At 38.0% G+C, this 21,040-nt stretch overlaps 1 protein-coding gene across 1 annotated transcript in view, besides 3 other annotated features; it reads right to left on the bottom strand.

Annotated features, from left to right (window-relative positions):
- The window catches only part of STK38L (serine/threonine kinase 38 like), an 81,674-nt gene that overhangs the window by 45,437 nt on the left and 15,197 nt on the right, over window positions 1-21,040 (bottom strand). The gene's annotated exons all lie outside the window — the stretch shown is intronic.
- Window positions 451-651: a silencer, noted in NCBI's record as "peak1626 fragment used in MPRA reporter construct". NCBI's record gives its function as "represses an SCP1 promoter by STARR-seq MPRAs in K562 erythroleukemia cells {active_cell/tissue: K562}" and the evidence as "EXISTENCE:reporter gene assay evidence [ECO:0000049][PMID:32103011]".
- Window positions 2,369-2,418: an enhancer, noted in NCBI's record as "active region_6144". NCBI's record gives its function as "activates an Ori minimal core promoter by ATAC-STARR-seq in GM12878 lymphoblastoid cells {active_cell/tissue: GM12878}" and the evidence as "EXISTENCE:reporter gene assay evidence [ECO:0000049][PMID:35858748]".
- Window positions 7,573-7,867: a silencer, noted in NCBI's record as "tiled region #14756; HepG2 Repressive non-DNase unmatched - State 8:EnhW". NCBI's record gives its function as "represses a minimal TATA promoter and a strong SV40 promoter by Sharpr-MPRA in HepG2 cells {active_cell/tissue: HepG2}" and the evidence as "EXISTENCE:reporter gene assay evidence [ECO:0000049][PMID:27701403]".

Genomic DNA, 21,040 nt, shown 5'->3' with positions numbered 1-21,040 from the left:
GCTCCTCTGGCACAGTCTCCTAATGGTGACAAAGGAGTCCCTCTCATCTGCTTGGCAGCCTTACAATCAGAGCGTTCTTACATCTAACCTAATTATTTCCCACTGAAATTCAAACCTAATTCATTTATTTTTTATTCTCTATAAAAATGAAAAACATCACTGTGGCAAGTAACTTGCTCAATTTCTCACAGAAAATAAAGAAAAGGTAGCTGGAATCAGTACTGACTTTGATTCTCTTTCATTGCATAATCAAAAGTTCTTATTTTGCTAAGGGAAGAACTGCTTATCCGCCTCAAGAAAACTGTGAAACTGATTTGAAAATAACATTGCCTTTCTGAAATGTTCATGACTACTATATATCTTAGAATTTAGAAACAGAAACCCTTCATAGTACTTTTAAAGGTCTTTTTAGTAAAAATAATAACCATGGGTAACTTTTATCAAACACTTCTGTGTTAGCTACAGTACTAAAGGTTTGGCACGCATGCTGTTCTTTGATCTTTACAGTTCTATAAAGTAGGCGCTTCCCACATTTACAAATAAGGAAGTAGGCTTAGTTAAGTCATCATCCCAAAGACCTACAGCCAGTAATTGGAACCTGTCTCCCTAAGCTCAGAACCCTCAGCTATATGGTCTTTCATCAGACTTTTATTTTTTAAATGTGTAAGCTTCCCTTTTTAGAGTATGTTGTTCTAGAAAGCATCAAGCTCTTTATAAAAAATTGTATTTTTCTCATCTCTTTCATTATAAACCGTGTGGAAAAACAACCACCTCAAGGTTTCACAAAGCTAAAGAGAGTCACACTTAAGAATGTAGCAAAAAAAAAAAAAAAAATTTTTTTTTTTTTAGCTCGCTGAAACTTCTGCCTCCTGGGTTCAAGTAATTCTCCCTGCCTCAGCCTCCTGAGTAGTTGGGATTACAGGTGCCCACCACCACGCCCGGCTAATTTTTGTATTTTTTCGTACAGACAGGGTTTCACCATGTTGGCCAGGGTGGTCTTGAACGCCTGACCTCAGGTGATCCACCCGCCTCGGCCTCCCAAAGTGGTGGGATTACAGGCGTGAGCCACCAAGCCCAGCCTGCAAACATTTTTTTAAAACTAAGGGAAAAAATGTGTACTAAGACTTAGAAGCATGAATATAAGCATAGAGCTTTTGCACCAGAAACAGTCCATTTTGAGACTCTGTTCCTTTAAACTATTTAAACATTTATTATCACAGCTAAACCAACTATTTTATTTTCACAGCTCTATAATAAAAAGATGCTCCTTGACTTTCAATGGGGCTACATCCCAATAAACCAATCCTAATTTGAAAACATCACTAAGTCGAAAGTGCATTTAATAGTGGCAGCAGAGCAGACATTCCCCAACTTACAATTTTTCCACTTTATGATGGTCCGAAAATGAGGCACATTCAGTAGAAATCATAATGACCTCCTCGATGGTCTTATATCCCAATAAACCCAACCTAAAGTTGAAAATTCATAAGTCAGGGACTGTCTGTATTTTGACATCTATTTGGGCAGGCCCCTACTCTTTTTCCTTTTTTATCCTCCAAATTATTATACTTTTTCATATGAATTCTAGAAATCTACTTGGAAAGTTCAATTTAAATTACTGTTGAGATTTTGATTTGGTCCCTATCATCTTTTGAGAAGAGGAAAAGCATGATTTAAACTATCCAGCCTCAGCTGATTTCAGCTTCAGGGCTGACTTTAGCTACTTTGCCAAGGTATTTCTGTCAGCTAGGGGACAAGTATCCAAACTGAGAGTTAAGGTTTTTAAAGTACTTTTAAAAAATTGCATCCAAGCTTACATTGTTATTGATTATAGAAAACAAAATGAGATATTCAACAAACCTAGTAGATAGTATTTGCAAGACACTTAGGCTTTCAGGGTGACCAAATAAAGACAAACCTGGAAGAAGCCAACTAAGCTAACAGTTTCATCGGCTTTAGGTAAGGCTTTAGGTACTAGCACCTATCAATGTACCAAGCAATATGACAGTAGGAAGAGACCCAAATAGTAGGAGACATGATATGAGCATGCTAAGATCCTATAAAATTGTCGAAAAAAGAGTTAAGACTAACCCATATAAACAATTAGCATATAAACAATTAGCCTGGGTGGACCTTTCTGATACAAGCAGGGCTTTAGAACAGGGGAAGATCAGTGTGGGCTGCAGTGCCCAATAAAAACTAACAGATCAAATAGTTCAGCTCTAGCTTAACTAAATGCCTGGTGGTAATCAAAATTTAGTGACAGCTATTCAGAAGTCTGTGTGAAAAGAAATAGTGATTATGTCAAGTTGGTTTATAAATCAAGGCTGGGCTACACTTACAGCCTTCCAATAAAAGGGCAAAGATCCCATAAGCAAGCATCTCTTAATTGCAGCAGCTACTCTAGATCATATGCCTAAACTGTGGCCAGCACTAGATTAACCCAATGGGAAATCCCCATGCTTTGTGGCTTATAGGTTATTCAAAACCAGAATCTGATCCTACTCTCCTTATACATGACCTGAAAAGTCCCTCCTCCACTGGACTTGCATCCATAAAAACTCCACCCAGTTTCCTGACATCACGGAAATTTACTAGTCCACTTGGAAGACCTAGTATGTAAGCTCATCTATTTGTGGAAAGAGGCAATTCTTTCCAAAATTACTGAGTCAGAAATTTTTACCAGCTCTAGACTTTTTTTTTTAAGGGGAGAAAGTTTTATCTTTTTTTTAAATTTTACTTGAATAAACAGGATAAGCACTATATCCCCTTCCAAGGAGCAAAAAATACTGCTCAAATAGCTGGAAAAATTGGTCAGGAGGAACTGGAGTGGGAATTTGCTTTAAATTTTTAAAATTATATGCAAACTCCATGGTTATTTAATTTTTAAAGAATTATGAGATAAGATATCTCCATGATTTCTTTACTCATTTGTCATTCCAGAAAACATTACTCAGGGTAGACAGCTCTTCCTTCCTCAATTATGTCCTTTGAAATGAACAGAAAACTTACCTTTGAGTTGGTTTTAAGGCGGTTTCACTAAAATCAGGGAGTTAAAGACTATTTAACCCTTTGAGGTTCCTTCGAGTCCTCCTACTGCTGTGTGTGTGTGTGTGTGTGTGTGTGTGTGGTTCCTTCCAGTTCTCCTACTGCTGTGTGTGTGTGTGTTTTTTGAGATGGAGGTCTTGCTCTATTACCCAGGCTGGTCTCAAAGCCCTAGGCTCAAGAGATGCTACCACCTCAGCTTCCCAAAGTGCTTTATACTTTATACTTTTAAAAGTACGAGTAATTACTCGTACTTTAAATTAAATCGAGGAACAAAGCGGGGTGTGAAGTTTTCACACACATGCCTCAGGACTCTATTTCTAATGAGATGATACACTGTAAATCATGAAACACTAATTCACTTCATACTTTATAGCTTTGTATTAAGTGAAATTGGGATAATTTGGTGGGTTATACATATTTAGAAGTGAAGTAAATACTTCAAGAGTTGTGAAGATCAAACGAAAGAGGTAAAATGCTTTATAAAAGGCAAGACACTATTCAATGTAAGGTTATACATGCTTTAAAACAATAAATCGAAATCCAGGATAATGGTCATTTCTGGGAGAGAGGAAAGGGAAGGATTACCAAGGCATCTTCACTCTACCTGCAATGTTCTGTCACTTAAAGAAAATCTGAGGTAACAGGGAGAGACTTGGTAAAGATATGCAGTAGACACATGAATGTTCCTTGTATTTTTCTCCATAACTTTGTGTATGTTTGCAATAATTCATAATATAAACTTCAGTTACTAGTTTATACTGTAATTTTGATAAAATAGAAATGACAAAGATTCCAAGGAATTTTAAAGGTTTCTTATGGATAATTTTTTAAAACTATTTAACCTTATACATAAATACAGTATCTTGCTTTTTACTAACTAGTATCTACTCTCATTCATATAATCACCATTGCTTTTCTTCCTTGCACTTCCACCTTGCACAATTTAAATAACAAAGCACAACTCTCTCCAGGGCATGTGAACAAAGGGATTTCTAGGAGATGGGCTCGGTGGAAGTCGTGGTCCTGGGAACAGCTTCATAGAGAAGGAGAAAGCACAGGGACAGGCTGCCAGATTTCTGCAGTTGTGTCTTCAATGGGCTTCGTTATTTTGTTTCAATTATCATGACTTCCCAAAATACCAGAGAAACTCATATTTAGAAGTTTAAAAACCTATCCTATACATACTAAAATATTTCCAGATTAAATCATACAACATCAAGGATTTACTGCAAAATAATGCGAAGGGGAGTAGGTATGGGTATAGATGAATCAAGATTGGTCATGGTTTGAGAACTGTTTAAGTTGGTGATGTGCACACAGGGAGGTACAGTTTACTCTTTCATTTACTTTTGTGTATACTTAAATTTTTCCATAATGAAGTTTTTTTAAAAAAAATCTCAAAGCTAAAATAAATGACTTAAATATCATTCTATTAAGTCTTGTACACATTTCCATTTGTTAGGCCTATCCATGGCAAGGGGATCAGGGAGCCAGGCCAGGTTAGTCCTGAGGCACTGCTAGTCAGCTTGGTGCTCTTGTCTAAGTTACTCGGTCTCTTTGATTTTGAGTTTATGGATAAGATATCTATGTTCCCTTTAGCCATATCATGATTATTGGATTTATAAAACTGGCTTACAGATGTTGTATAATATAGTAAGAATTGCAAATGTTATAATGGTACACTGTGACCATATGGGAGTATCTTTCATCCCTCATTTATTTATTTATTTGAGAAACATTTAGGGAATGCATACTATGTGCCAGGCAGTGTCACATGTGGGTAGAATTCAAAGTTAAGTGACACAGAATCTCTGCCTTCAAGATGCACTCTAATCAGTCCGGGCGTGGTGGCTCATGCCTGTAATCCCAACAGTTTGGGAGGCCGAGGTGAGCGGATCACCTGAGGTCAGGGGTTCAGGGCCAGCCTGGCCAACATGGTGAAACCCATCTCTACTTAAAATACTAAAAAATTAGCCAGGCGTGGTGGCAGGTGCCTGTAATCCCAGCTACTTGGGAGGCAAGAGAATCACTTGAACTGGGGAAGCAGAGGTTGCAGTGAGCTGAGACCACACCATTGCACTCCAGCCTGGGCAACAAGAATGAAACTCCGTCTCAAAAAAAAAAAAAAAAAAGATGCAGTCTAATCATGGAAGACAGACATATAAACAAACGAACAATAACACAAAGTAAGTATGATAATGGGGTGATGGAGCTGAAAATACCAAAAGGCCTTAGTAGTGTGAGACAGCAAGGAATTGTAAATAATTTTGTATGAAGGGGCGAGAGAAAAAGTGGCAGGAGATGAGGGAGGACAGGAAAGTAGGAACCAGATTGAGAAGGACCATGAATGTGATGCCATGGAATTTGGATGGTACCTTGAAAAGTGGTAAGGAAGCCATTTAAAAGATTTTAAGTCTGAGTATGATGTGGTCCAATTTACAATTTAGATTGTTGGGGCAGGAAGGTGGATTTGGTGGTTGCTGGCAATGTTTGAGGAATGAAGGAAGAGGGGAGGAATGGAAGGGAGGTTTACTGTAATTATTAGATAACTAAAATGGTCTAGCAGGATATGACTGAACTGGGGCAGGGTTAGCGGAGATTACTGAGATACTGTTAGAATGCCTTCTTGGGTTTGGAAGTAGAGAAAAGAAAACATAGTGAGTTATATATGTAATCATTAATGTACAATAAAGGTAACAAGTTCCTTCTTCAAAGTATAAAAGAGACGAGTTTGGAAATGCAAGTTATTTCTCCCTCTGTCTTTCAAGATAACATAAAAACTGCAGCATTGAACAATAGTATGTATTCATCATGAACGGCTTATGTGCTTCAAGCATAGCACCTATAGGTACTGAATAAATGTGGGTTATATGTGAACATGATATATTATTAAACACATGAAATGGACTGGACCTGTTTTCTCTGGTCACTGCCACACAGTACAGATGGTAACTCCCTGCTGGCCAGATTAGTAGTGACGTGATAAAATGCACAAACAAAAAGAATTCTTTTTCAGGTGATTTTTACACCATTCTGTAATCTTTCCCCCCAGATTTGAAAACCATATCAGCAATGATCCTCACCATCATTTCTCAAAATAATGGAGAGGATAGTTAAGTTCTGGTTACTTAAGATTTAGACTACTCCTGACACGTAGACTCCAACAGGACACCCTTTTTTCTTACAAATTACATAGTGTCTTTTATCTGAGCTCCAAAAAGGGCAATTTTTTTTTTTTTTTGACAGAGTCTTGCTCTGTTGCCAGGCTGGAGTGCAGTGGCGCGCTCTTGGCCTCCTGGGTTAAACTGATTCTCCTGCCTCAGCTTCCCGAGTAACTGGGATTACCGGTGTGCACCACTACGCCCAGCTAATTTTTGTATTTTTAGTAGAGATGGGGTTTCACCATGTTGGCCAGGATGGTCTCAATCTCTTGACCTTGTGATCCGCCCACCTCAGCCTCCCAAGGTGCTGGGATTACAGGCGTGAACCACCGCACCCGGCCCAAAAAGGGCATTTCTAAAAGAAGTATCAGAGAGAAGCAATCAGTCAGTCCTCAGTGCCACAAACCACACGTACTTATGTTTCAATTTCTACAAAACAACAGCAATATTGTTTCCTCAAAACATATTATCTTCATTTGAATAAAGATAAAAAGTAAGGCACAGAAAGGTAGATTATCTAGACAATGTCCTGCTGTTAATGACTATTATTCTGAAATTAGAAAATTCTGCCTATCTTTTAACCATTACCTCCTTATACTTCCCAGATTTTCTCAGCAGTGAGGCTATAGTACCAAACGTCAAAACCTAGAAATCTGATCATTCTATTCCATACCCAGAACTTTATTAAATGCTAACACTCTGTTATTGACAATAATAAAAATAAATAATTCATAATTAACTATACATTAATTATGTGGTAGGTAATATGCTTAATACTTTATATACATTATCTCATTTGGTTTTGATCCTCACATTAGCCCTAACGAGTGGTAAATAATGTTACTGCCATTTTGCAACAGAAAAAATGGGCTCAGAGATGTGTATGTTATAAATGTTATAAAACCAAAACAAGCCTGTCAACACTCATTAGCCTAGGACTCTTCCACTATTCAGTACTGCTCTCCCAAGCCATGCGTAGGTGGGCAGGTGTTTGGCAAGCCTTGTCTAGGGTCACACATATAGAAACGGAGGCACCATTCGGCTCCCAGTCCAGGACCCCTCCCATTCTGCCTCCAATACTCCCATTCTTCTCCATAAAATAAATCATAGCCACTTACAGGGATCAATAAAGTAGAAAATCTCCGCCCTTGTTTAAAAGAAAAAAGATAAACATACAAAATAAGGAAGAAAAAAATATCAAACACAAACTGGCTTTGTCAACATAGCATAAAGGTCATGAGGATCTTAAAAAAAAAAAAGAAAAAAATCAGTAAGTATTTCTGACACAATCAAGGCCCCAAAGGAACTAGTTTAGAAAATAATGCATTTCAGCTTTTTAATCTGAGTCCATTTTTGTTTTTCCAGTATTTCTTCATGTGTTTTACAGTCCACATTTAACTGCCAAAGTTTTCAGTACTTATCAGAGACCTGGCAAAAGGTTAAAGAGCATTTTTCTGTTCCCAACCCACACAGAAAACAATGCCTACAATCAATCATCACAGAATCTACTGTCAAGTAGCAGGCAGGTGCAACTTTTCTCTGCTGCACTGTGTGTGTTGGGGGAAAGAGGTTTTGAAAGAAACATTAAAAACAAACCACATTTGGGGGGATAATTTCTTCTAAGTGACTTACATCTTGTAAGATATTTGGCTGTTGACAAGATGATCCCACCCTTGAATACACGGAAGTTGCACCCAGTCTCACAAAGCAGATTCAGTCACCCCAGGCAGAAGTCTGGACTTCCCTCCAAGACAAATATGGAATTCAATCTGTGTGATGCCTTGAATGCAGCTAATTAATTTGCAATCCTTTATTATGACCATATAAAGGAGGGAAAAGAGCTACTTTCCCAGTCCTTCCTTGAGGGGAAATCAAAAGGAAAACAAAGCATAATATTTAAATCGCATGGCAAAGTTCTTAAACTTTTGCACTAATATACACACCCTAGCTAATTCATCAGCATAATACCATACAGCAGATCACCTCAGTACTATCTTTCCTATACATGGTCATTCCAACGCTGTGCTAATTCTACTCAAAACGGAATGGATAAGGAGCTATAATGTCTCATTCTTTTTGCTTAGCCATTTAACCCTACAATTTTTAGAGTAAATGAATTGACCTTAATTCGTTGTATTATTTATATTTACTTACAGCTAAGTAAACAAACCACAGCTGAGTGAAAACTCTATCTAAAAATAGCCAAGAGCCGAAGCAGTAACAGCAACTTAATGAAAGTTGCTTTTTGAACCAATGAGAGCGTTTAAAATCCAAAATAAAGATTCACAGGAGGAAAATATTTTTAACCTAAAGCTAATGAGTACGGTGGCTCATGCCTATAATCCAAGCACTTTGGGAGGCCAAGGCAGGTGGATCACTTGATGTCAGGAGTTCAAGACCAATCTGGCCAACATGGTGAAACCCTGTCTCTACTAAAAATACAAAAGTTAGCCAGGCACGGTGGTGTGCGCCTGTAGTCCCAGCTACTCGGGAGGCTGAGGCAGGAGGATCTCTTGAACTCATGAGGCGGAAGATGCAGTGAGACGAGATCGTGCCACTGCACTCCAGCCTGGGTGACAGAGCAAAACTCCGTCTCAAAATAAAAAATACAAAAATAAAGCTAATGAGTAGACACATTTCAAATATGGTTAGCTGTCTCCCAAATAGCTGTAGTCTTTTAGAATGGCTCTATCTCAACTGCACAGTAACTATCCAAGCTCAAAAACCAATCGGAGTCCTCTGTGGAATATTTAAAACCATTCTCTACTAACTACCCCCCAAACATCTGCATATGGCATATATAGGAAATTGAATTACAAGCTATGAATTTTCTGAAATCCTTCAGAGGCCAGCATCCACTCATGAGGAACCAAAACTATTCATAATGAAAGCCTGATCCACCATACACTTCCATTAGGCAACTCCAGCTCCAAGTTTTGCTCCTTCCTTAAAAGTACTGGACCCCACCAACCACAGTGAAAATGTATTTTCCCATTCTCTCATCATCACATTTAAAAAACAAAGTCTTAGGTGAATTCTTTTAAAACTAAAAATGAATTAGTATTTCTTCAGATACCTATGAATCTACGTCTAAAACTGTGCAACTAGACTGGCTGACTTTGAATCCCTAATTCCATTCCTGCTGGCTGTGTGATCTTAGACAAGTTACTAAATCTGCCTGCGCCTTGGTTTTCTCATAGATCAAAAGGATTGTTGTGAGTTAATATATGTAATGCACTTAGGGCAGTACCTGATTCATGATAAGGGTCAATTTGAAGAAATTATCATTATCATTATCACTGCTATCATCACTGTACCTTTACAATTACACTGTTAACATGTCCCTTTTGTCATCCTCCAATATGTGGAAAAATCTACCAAAAGATAATTAGGATCTCTCTACTAAGCCAAAGGAAGTAATTCATAGATAGTTTGGTCAGCAAGTTACATATTACAAATAACATCATAAAGATTCAACTAAAATCATAGTTTAAGATTCAAGCCAGGCATGGTGGTTCACACCTATAATCCCAGTAATTTGGGAGGTGGAGGTGGGAGGATCCCTTAAGCCCAGGAGTTCAAGACCAGCCTGGGCAACAAAGCGAGGCCCTGTCTCCATAAAAAAAAATTTAAAAGCGCTGGGTGCGGTGGCTCACGTCTGTAATCCCAGCACTTTGGGAGCCCAAGGCAGGTGGATTACTTGAGGTCAGGAGCTCGAGACCAGCCTGGCTAACATGGTGAAACCCCATCTCTACTAAAAATACAAAAATTAGCTGGGCATGGTGGCATACACCTGTAATCCCTGCTACTCGGGAGGCTGAGGCAAGATAATTGCTCAAACCCAAGAGGTGGAGGTTGCAGTGAGCTGAGATCACGCCACTGCACTCCAGCCTGGATGCACAGAGAGACTCAAAATAAATAAATAAATAAATAAGAATCAATCAGCTGGGTGTGGTGGCACACTGGTAGACCCAGCTACTTGGCAGGCTGAGGTGGGAGGATCGCCTGGGCCTGGGAGGTACAGGTTACAGTGAGCCGTGATCACATAACTGCCCTCCAGCCTGGGTGATGGAGACACTGTCTCCAAACTAAAAAATAAAAAAAGATTCATTTGGATCTCTTATAGGCAATTGTTGCAGATTTCAGGTAGCTCCTAAAGTCTTAAGATTAAACTTTTGAAATCACAGTGCCAAAAATGTTTTGTCTTCGAAATAATCCCAGTACATTCGGAGAGACAAATGCATCTACAATCAGGCGACAACACTGAAAATAAAATTGTAGCAGTTTGAATACGGGATTAAATGAGTTAATTTTTTCCTGGGGTTCAAAAAAAGAAACAGCAGCAAAAAAGGGTACTTACGATTGAAAGTTGGCCGGGTGCAGCTGCTCATGCCTGTAATCTCAACACTTTGGGAGGCCAAGGTGGGCGGATAACCTGAGGTCAGGATTTCGAGACCAGCCTGGCCAACATGGCGAAACAACGTCTCTACTAAAAATACAAAAATCAGCCGGGCATGGTGGTGGGTGCCTGTAATCCCAGCTACTCGGGAAGCTGAGGCAGGAGAATCACTTGAACCCAGGAGGCAAAGGTTGCAGTGAGCCAAGATCACGCCATTGCACTGCAGCCTGGGTGACAAAGCAAAACTCCATTTCAAAAATAAAAAAAGATAGAAAGGTCTGGGTTATGACACAGAACATATGCAACATGAATATGTCATGGTTATGAACATGTAGCCAAAAGAAAAAAGCTGGAGGGCTCATGCTACCTGACTTCAAACTATACTACAAGGCTACAGTAACCAAAACAGCATGGTACTGGTACCAAAACAGAGATATAGACCAATGGAACAGAACAGAGCCCTCAGAAATAATGTCGCGTATCTACAACCATCTGATCTTTGACAAACCTGACAAAAACAAGAAATGGGGAAACAATTCCCTATTTAATAAATGGTGCTGGGAAAACTGGCTAGCCATATATAGAAAGCTGAAACTGGATCCCTTCCTTACACCTTATACAAAAATTAATTCAAGATGGATTAAAGACTTACATGTTAGACCTAAAAACCATAAAAACCCTAGAAGAAAACCTAGGCAATACCATTCAGGACATAGGCATGGGCAAGGACTTCATGTCTAAAACACCAAAAGCAATGGCAACAAAAGCCAAAATTGACAAATGGGATCTAATTCAACTAAAGAGCTTCTGCACTGCAAAAGAAACTACCATCAGAGTGAACAGGCAACCTACAGAATGGGAAAAAATTTTTGCAATCTACTTATCTGACAAAAGGCTAATATCCAGAATCTACAATGAACCCAAACAAATTTACAAGAAAAAAACAAACAACCCCATCAAAAAGTGGGCGAAGGATATGAACAGACACTTCTCAAAAGAAGACATTTATGAAGCCAAAAGACACATGGAAAAATGCTCATCATCACTGGCCATCAGAGAAATGCAAATCAAAACCACAATGAGATACCATCTCACACCAGTTAGAATGGCGATCATTAAAAAGTCAGGAAACAACAGGTGCTGGAGAGGATGTTGAGAAATAGGAACACTTTTACACTGTTGGTGGGACTGTAAACTAGTTCAACCATTGTGGAAGTCAGTGTGGCGATTCCTCAGGGATCTAAAACTAGAAATACCATTTGACCCAGCAATCCCATTACTGGGTATATACCCAAAGGATTATAAATTATGCTGCTTTAAAGACACATGCACACGTATGTTTATTGTGGCACTATTCACAATAACAAAGACTTGGAACCAAGCCAAATGTCCAACAACGATAGACTGGATTAAGAAAATGTGGCACATATACACCATGGAATACTGTGCAGCCATAAAAAATGATGAGTTCATGTCATTTGTAGGGACATGGATGAAGCTGGAAACCATCATTCTCAGCAAACTATGGCAAGGACAAAAAACCAAACACCACATGTTCTCACTCATAGGTGGGAATTAAACAATGAGAACACATGGACACAGGACGGGGAACATCACACACTGGGGCCTGTTGTGGGGTGGGGGGAAAGGGGGAGGGATAGCGTTAGGAGATATACCTAATGTTAAATGACGAGTTAATGGGTGCAGCACACCAACATGGCACATGTATACATATGTAACTAACATGCACATTGTGCACACGTACCCTAAAACTTACAGGATAATTAAAAAAAAATTAGCATCACAGAATGAAAAATAAGCCACCGACTAGCAGAAGATAATTGTAACACATAAAAACAAAGGATTAAATACAATGGTAATACAATGATAGCTATTCTTACAAAGTTGTTTCTATGTCTCAGGTACTATTCTGAACAATATACATGCATCTTGAATGCATGAAGAATTCCTATATAAGAAAAACACAAACAACAAAATTTAAAATGAGCAAAAAACCCGAATAGGAATTTCACAGAAGAGAAAACATAAATGGCCCATAAACATAATAAAAGATGCTCAACTACAATTCTAATCAGGGAAATAAACATTAAAACCCCAAAGAGATACCACTTCATACTCTAACAAAAACCTAAAAGGCTGTGAATATCTAGTTTCGAATGAGGAAGAACAATGGGAAGACTATTCACTGCTGGTGAGGGTATAGATTAGTACAACTGCTTTGGAGAACAGTTTGATGCCACTCAATAGAGCTGAACACACACATGCCCAATGACCAAGCAATTCCACTCCAGGTACATACTGTAAAAATACTCCTGCACATGCAGAATAGGAGACACTGCATCATAACAATGTTCACTAGAACACGAGGCTGAGGTGGGAAGATGGCTTGAGACCAGGAGTTCGAGCCTGCACCAGTAGCTGGGACTATAAGCATATGCCACCGTGCCTGGCTGATTTTTTGTTGTTGTGGTTGTTGTTAGAGATGAGGTCTTCCTTTATTGAACAAGCTGGTCTCCAACTCCTGGCTTCAACTATCTTCCCACTTCTGCCTCCCAAAGTGCTGGGATTACAGGTGTGAGCCACCATGCCCGGCCAAGTTCTGCTTCTTAACCTGAGGTAGATACTTTGATGTTTCATTTTCCTTTATTGTACAGATATACTTTATATTCTCATATGTGACACAAGTCAAAATTTAAAAAAACAATTTAACGTTTATTCCCTTTAGATGAATGATGGGCAAATTTACATAATGAATTCATTACTGAAACAATGTATAGATTTCAGACTAGGAAAGTAACTATTTATAAAAGAAGAGCTTAAAACCTGCAACAGAAACAAAAACCCGAAACTGTAAAATTGAGTCAAACTAAAATTTAAAAAACAAAGCAATGATATAAAGTATCATTTGTCCAATGTGTTCTACAAAACGCTTTTTTCTTAAATATGTCTGAGGGAAAACAGGTTCTAGGAGTCAAATACGTTTGAAAAATGCTGGGTTAAACAACTGAACCTATGAAGGAAGGAACAGAACTTCTCAAGCTCTTGACTCCGGAATCTTTTTTACACAGCAGTTAACACCATGCTTCTTCTTGGATTTGTATTTCAGATAAACACAATCTGGGAAACATTTTATAACACAGAGGGCCACACCAGATTGAATATTGCCCCCAGGAATGAAATGAAAACAGGAATGGATTCTCCAGTAAGAGGTACCCAGATATCCTAATCTTCAGTAGCTGACCTAAATCCTGGACAAGTGGGATCAAACCCCATAACTAAATACAACTTTTTAGGAACTAAGTGGATAATCACTCTGTGTTGTATGAACATGTGGGCAATGTGTTTCCTACACAGCTTAAAAGTGCAACAAAAAAAGATCTAGGTGTAATATAAAGAATTTCTACCACTGTTAGGGTAATGGCGGACTGACAGGGAGAGGGTCTTAGATGTTACTTAAGTAAAGTTCAATAGAAGCTTCCAGCACAGATATTCATGTTTCAAATTGGATCGCTCCATTAAAAAGTTTTTCCACTAGACTTCCCCGAATCAAATTATAAATTATCTAATTTTCTACTAAAGTTTTCCCCAGGCACAGGGAATATGTGGACTGGACCTACAAAATTCTTCATAATGTGCTTTTATTACTATAGGAAAAGATGCACATTTATTTTAAAAACTTCTCTATACCACTATCGTAAACCTTTGCACACACTTATTTCTTTTGGAAGCTAACTTCTGAGTGGCAACAATATATATTCTTAAGAAAAAAGTCTGACACAATGCCTTTGTGTCTTAAAATATGTTAAAATATTATTTGAAAAGAGTCAAACATCTGTCTTTTCAGGGTATCACAGGGAGTCAAACTGGAAAATGTGGCACTGTCAGGAGTTTCTACCTGGTGAAGGGTAGCAGACTTTTCTCTTCAGAGGGCTCTTGAGAGGGTAGCATCCATTATCTTGCCAGTTTACCACAACCTAGGCCCAATCCTCAGCCTTATAGGTTCAGAAATTTATTTTTATCAGCATCAATAGGGTAGCTACATTGCTTAGAAGCAAACAAAATTAATCATGCTTCAACAGAAATCAGGATACAGATATATTAATACAGAATGACAAATATAACTGTGACAGAAATAGGAATGCCTGTTTATGGTCATACATGGCCAATACTTTCATTACAGCCAAACTCACACATGCAGCCAAATAAGAGGCCCCTGGATACACAGGCAATCAGAATAAAAAAAGAAGAACTGAACATTTAATAGTCTTCTTTCATTCAATCAATAATTTTTTTAATTAAGCAACTACTATGTCCAGGTAACCTTCTAGGTCCTGGGGATACAGAGGTCTCTGCTTACAGAAGTCATAGGTAAGTAGCAGGTGAAGAGTATGTGTTTCACAGAAGTTTATTACAATATATTAATAACAGCAAAAAATTTTGGAAGCAATCTAAATGTTCAATAATAGAGCTCCAATTAAATAACAATAAATCCAAATAATGAAAAATAATGCAGCCCTTTAAGAATAGCACTTGCAAGCCATAATTCATGACATGGGAAAATTATCATGATGGAAAAAGAAGCAAGCTATATATAGTGCACGATCCTATACACACACATACACACATACATATTTCCTATCCCTTTATATGCATAAGAAAACAAGCGGAAGGAAAGCCATATCTTTAGTCAAATCTTGTTTACTAAAGTACTATTAATGATTATCTTTTCTTTTTCTTCATACCTTTTTGCATTTTTCAATTTCCTAAAACAGCCTTACATGCCTTTTATCACCAGGAGAAAAATTACTTCTAAAGTAATTTCAGTCAACATGCATACTAAGAACTCTTCAGATTTATCTATTAGAAGCTGTGCATGAATGCCAGTCCTTGCATCTGCCTTGGAACTCACAGAGAGCTCTTTTCCTATGGCTTTAAACAATACTCAAAAAGAGTAGCATACCTGAATTTCCTAGTCCTATGTTTTTGTCATCCAACAGCCAGTCTTGTCTAGCTGTTTTCTAAACATTTCAACCAAAACATTTTTTTACAGATAACTCATACAGTCATCCTTTGATATGCATGGGGAATTGGTTCCAGGATCCCCCTTGTATACCAAAATCCATGGATGCTCAAGTTACTGGTATAAAATAGTGTAGTATTGGCATATAACCTACACACATCCTCCTATATACTTTAAATCATCTCTAGATTACTTCTAATACTTAATATGATGTAAATGCTACATAAATAGTTGGTATACCATGCTGTTTTTTATTTGTATCATTTTTTATTGTTGTATTGTTTTTTCTGACAATTTTGTTCCACAGTTGTTTGAATCAGTGGATGCAGAACCCATGAATATGGAGAGTCAATTGCATTTAATTATGCCCAAAGGTAAATGCATAACTTTTTCCCCACAGCTAATCTTCTAGCAACCCCATTGCTGTCCATGGCAAGCAGGCTTAGTTAATCTCTCCCATTCCCATTTCAGGTTCTTTAAAACCTCTTTCAAAATCTCTTTCATCCCACCTTATTCTTCATTCTCACTTCCATCAGCATATCAGTCCAGGCCCTAGTAACATTAATGTTACTAATGGCACTGTTGGTAACATTACTTACCAGCATTCAAGTGGGTCTTCCTGATGCCATTCTCTCCCATCCTGAAATCATTGCTCATAGAACTTGTATGATGTCATTCATTGGCTCAAAAACTTTTAAAGCTTTCCTTTTTCTACCATCCCAATCTAAATTTCTATGCCTGGCTTTTATTAAAGCCCATAATTTGGCCCCACCCTAGCCATTTAACTTTATTTTCCACTATTCACCAGTCTCCTCCCTCATCAACGAGAAGACATACCATAATCAACCTCACCACTAACCCTTGGAATATCTAAACTTAAAAATGGTCCTTCCTTTCCCCTTTACTTGTATTTAAAGAACCTGACGAACTATTCCTCCTCTGCTAAACTTTTCACAATTTCTTCAGCCTCATTTATGTTTCACGTTTTCAGAACATGTCTTGCCATTTATTAGGAATCTCACAATTAGGCACTCTCACGTAGACAGATTTACAGTCATGTATGTTGTCATCTTCTATTAAATTCCACACTCCTTGAAGGCAGGAGCCACGCCTTATTCTGTCCCCCAAAGTACTCAGAATGATGCAGAGCACACAGAAAGTACTCAAATCTTGTTGACTGATCCAGTGAGAAATGACCAACTTCAGTTCCAGCCTCTCTTTAACATGTACATAGCAATTTGGGCAAGTCAAAGCTCCATCCTAAAGGACATAATAGGGGACTCTTTAAGCACATTATGATGAAGGCCCTTTAGGGATAACACCAGAGTGATGAGGTGCCCTATACCAGGGATAATGGAGACAGAGTTCTTGCGATTCATCACTGGGGTCCTCAAAGCATCTTCCAAGGGGATAATAAGGAAGGACTCAAACACCTTTCAATCTCCATGAGACCAGGCATGAGGTCTTTTGAAAGAGTTCTTTAACTGGAGTGAATGTCAAAGAGAAGTGTAATAAAATAAAAGACCTGCTTGTTCATAAAGTGATACTACCTAAATCACCAAATCTCACTGAGCCTTGGTTTAACTCAAGAGGTTTCATGCCACTGTAAGAGGTGGTAACTGCCAACTGATAAGAAATATTTTCATATGCATAGTCGTAGTGCCCCATATTTATGAACTCCTTAAGAGTCTTCAAAAAGCTTTCTATATACATTATCCTTTATTTTCTAACTTTTCTAAATACAAGGTGAGAGAGACACAAAGTGTTCTATCAAAACAATCTTGGCTGGGCACAGTGACTTACGCCTGTAATCCCAGCACTTTGGGAGGCCCAGGTGGGTGGGTCACCTGAGGTCAAGACTAGCCTGGCCAATGTGGAGAAACCCCATCTCTACCAAAAATACAAAAATTAGCCAGGCATGGTGGTGCACGCCTGTAATCCCAGCTACTCGGGAAGCTGAGATGGGAGAATCGCTTGAACCCGGGAGGCTGAGATTGCAGTGAGCTGGGATCCCACCACTGCGTTCCAGCCTGGGCAACAGAGTAAGACTCTATCTCAAAAAAAAAAAAAAAATTCTCAGAGTCTACATATAACAAATATTTTGTTTTATTCTTAGTGTACTTTAAATACATCTATCCATATTATTCCTTTTTTTTTTTTTTTTAATTAGAGATAGAGTCCCACTCCATCACCCAGGCTGGAGTGCAGTGGTGCCATCATAGCTCACTGCAGCCTTAAACTCCTGGCCTCGAGTGATCCTTCCACCTCAGCCTCCTGAGTCACTGGGATTACAGGTGTGAGCCACTGCACCTGGCTGTTTACCCATATTATTCTAAAATTAAGAAACATTTCAGAAATTGACTACTCAATGATTTTATCAGTTTTCTGCCATGGAAAATGTAATGTTTTACGATTTTTAACGTTAATACCTAGCAAAGTTTCTATAGTGCTTTCTCAATAGGTATTTTGATTTGAACATTTTGTACTGAATCAGTGAAAATATATGGAATTTACTAAATGTAAATTATAAAAACTAATTTTCAATAAAATTTCTATTTTTAAAAGTTGAAATTTTACTTTAAAGACATAATTTGTATTTAGTTTCAGTGTGTAATGGCTGGCTTCTCAATAATGGCATTATTATTGTCTGGGCTCTAATCCTAAAATATAATTTTTTAAGAGAAGGGACTATTGTGAGATTTCTGTGGTTTCTTATAGCAAATGAATAGCGTCAAAAATGGTACAAATGGTACACAAACGTCTGATTCATACCACAGCATACAATCATCTGTAACAGACTTTTCACTGGTGAGGAAGTATACCTTGCAAAAACTAAGAAAAGAATGTTTACCCAGAGATCTGCTGCCGCTGCTGCTAATAAAAACTAACATTTACTGACTGCTTCCACATGCCATGCATATGCTAATAAACAGAACTGTATGCCATATATACTGTATTAGTTAATAATATGTAAGGCTTTTAAAACAACATCTGGCAAATAGTAAACCCTACATAAAAGTTTATCATCATCATCTTCATATCACTCAATTCTGAAAGCAAGGATTAATGACTCAAGAAGCAGGCATTACTGCTCTCCACTCCCCATTTTACAGATACAAAAACAAATTTAGAGAAGAACTTAAGAAATTTGTTTCAGGTCACACAGTTAAAATGGTGATGGATCTTGAGCTTTTTCTAATCACTATGTAATTTTGATTAACTGATCAAGTAGACCTTAAGCTGAAAATGGAAGAAGAGATACAAAAAGTTCAGATATTACTGTAACAATGAAAGAAGCTGGCTGGGCATGCTCTGAAAAAGAAAACTGAAAATAATGGGAAAGCTTGGGTCAATTATTTGTTGCAGAAAAACAAATGGGAAAGGTGTTAGCAACAAAGTGGTCTCAGGTCTGTGGAAACCCATGCCCAGAATATGGGTATTAAACAAAGAAAGAAAACTGACAATTTACAAATAAGTTAATATGATACTATTAAGCATCACTGAGATTTGATGAAATGGGACTCTGCACTAGAACAGGGCAAAAGCAAGGAAAGTAGAAGCATTAAGAATTGCTGGTATTCTAGAGACTGAGGCTGACACAAATAAGCTGTGATGGGGACTTCAACTTTTGGGATAGCCGCTAGAATTCTCCCACAGATAAAATCAATGTCTCTGATAAATGCCTTGCTAACCCTTCCACCTCTCAAATAGGAAAAGAAATATTCTGGATGTGAATGTGACCACTGGGAAGAAATTCGATGATAAATGGAAGTACTGGGAAACCGGAGAGCAATTTACCATGGAATTTTCAAGTTTGTTACAATAGCTGGGAATGGAAACATGGGACACAATTAGGCAACAAAAATTACAAAATGTTCAGAGAAAAGAAAAGTAAGTCCTGCCTGAGACTCAAAAAAGAAAGATGAGTCATCTGTTTTAGGAAGCTCTCAACAACAGAAGTCTAGTTAAACTAGCCTTGATTAATTAATTCAACAAATATTTACTGAGCATCCACTATGTGCCAGATACTGTTCCTGGCACCGTATAAAAATACAAATGACACAAAATACCAGCCCTTATGGATCTTATATTCTAGTGGGGCGAGGGGATGGAAAGAAAGTATAGGGGCTGGGAGAGGCATTACAATTTTAAATAAGGACATCAGAAGGTTTCATTGAGAAGGAGGTTTGAATGAGATGAAAAAGAATGATTTAGAAATCTGAAGGGAGGAGAGTACCACACAGCATGTATGGTAAGTGCAAAGGCCCTGAAGCAGAGGTATGCAGTAAGAAACAGCAAGGAGTTCAGTACGGCACAGAGAGAGTGAGGGGGAGTGGTAAGAAAGAGTTCAGAGAGGTGACAGGGGCAAGAACGTGTAAAACCCCGCAAAGACAGTAAGGACTTTGGATTACTCCTGAATTATGCCCATGAGAATTCACACTTATTAGGTTCCCTTTCACTAAATGCTCTCTTGTATTAAATACCTACTTTCACTAGATGTTATGAGAAAAATACAAAGGAAGGCAAACATGATTATTGCCCTGAAGACAGTGTCATTTTGTTCTGTTGGAAGTAAATTATAAATTGAAAATGAATTTAAAAGAATAACAAGGGAAATGTTCCATATCTATACATGATCTGATAAAGTACCAGACTGAAACTTGTGAGCTTTAGAATAATTCCTAGTTATATCACAAGAAGAATCCAGAAAAGAAAGATGAAAAAAAGAGACAAAGAAGGAGAATGAGTCAGAAAAACATGGTGGTGGTGGTGGTGGGGGACTTGTATAACCAAACAAGTGATGGACAGACTGACATAAAACCAGTATTGCTCCTATCCTCTTTCTTCTAGTCACAACAAAAAGATTAAAACTTGATATAAGAAACAGAGTTCTGGCTATAAACTGCAAAGGATATTAATGACAGAAAATGGGAAGATTCTGAAAAGACTGGCTGCACAAAGAGCTCTTCAATGAACTCAGATTTTCAAAGACACAGAAAAAGAAAGGAGGGACACATAACATGGATGCCTATAAAAGAAACACAGGATGGTATCAGGAAGTAAAATGTCCACAATGAGCTGAACTTAAGAAAATCAGCAAGGGCTACAAAAAGGACTTTTGAATTTATGTCTGGAAGAGAAAGTTTACAAAAGGCCTGGTATACACAAAAGGCTGAGTACGTTGGTTAAGGTAAATGGTGTAGTTAATACATGATAGGAAAAAAAAGGGGGGGAAAGAAACCCTTCACTTCTATTTTGCTTTTTAAAAATTCTACACTTGAATACCCCCTCACAGTTTACAAAGACCTTTTACATATTTCTACCTGGAGAGGTAGGTATGACGCCTATTTTATAAAAGAGAACTTCCAGTCCAGTGTCCATCACTCAATC

This window comes from Homo sapiens, chromosome 12 (genome assembly GCF_000001405.40).
Source record: "Homo sapiens chromosome 12, GRCh38.p14 Primary Assembly".
NCBI classification, from domain to species: Eukaryota; Metazoa; Chordata; class Mammalia; order Primates; family Hominidae; genus Homo; species Homo sapiens.
This window is presented reverse-complemented; position numbering and strand designations above follow the sequence as displayed.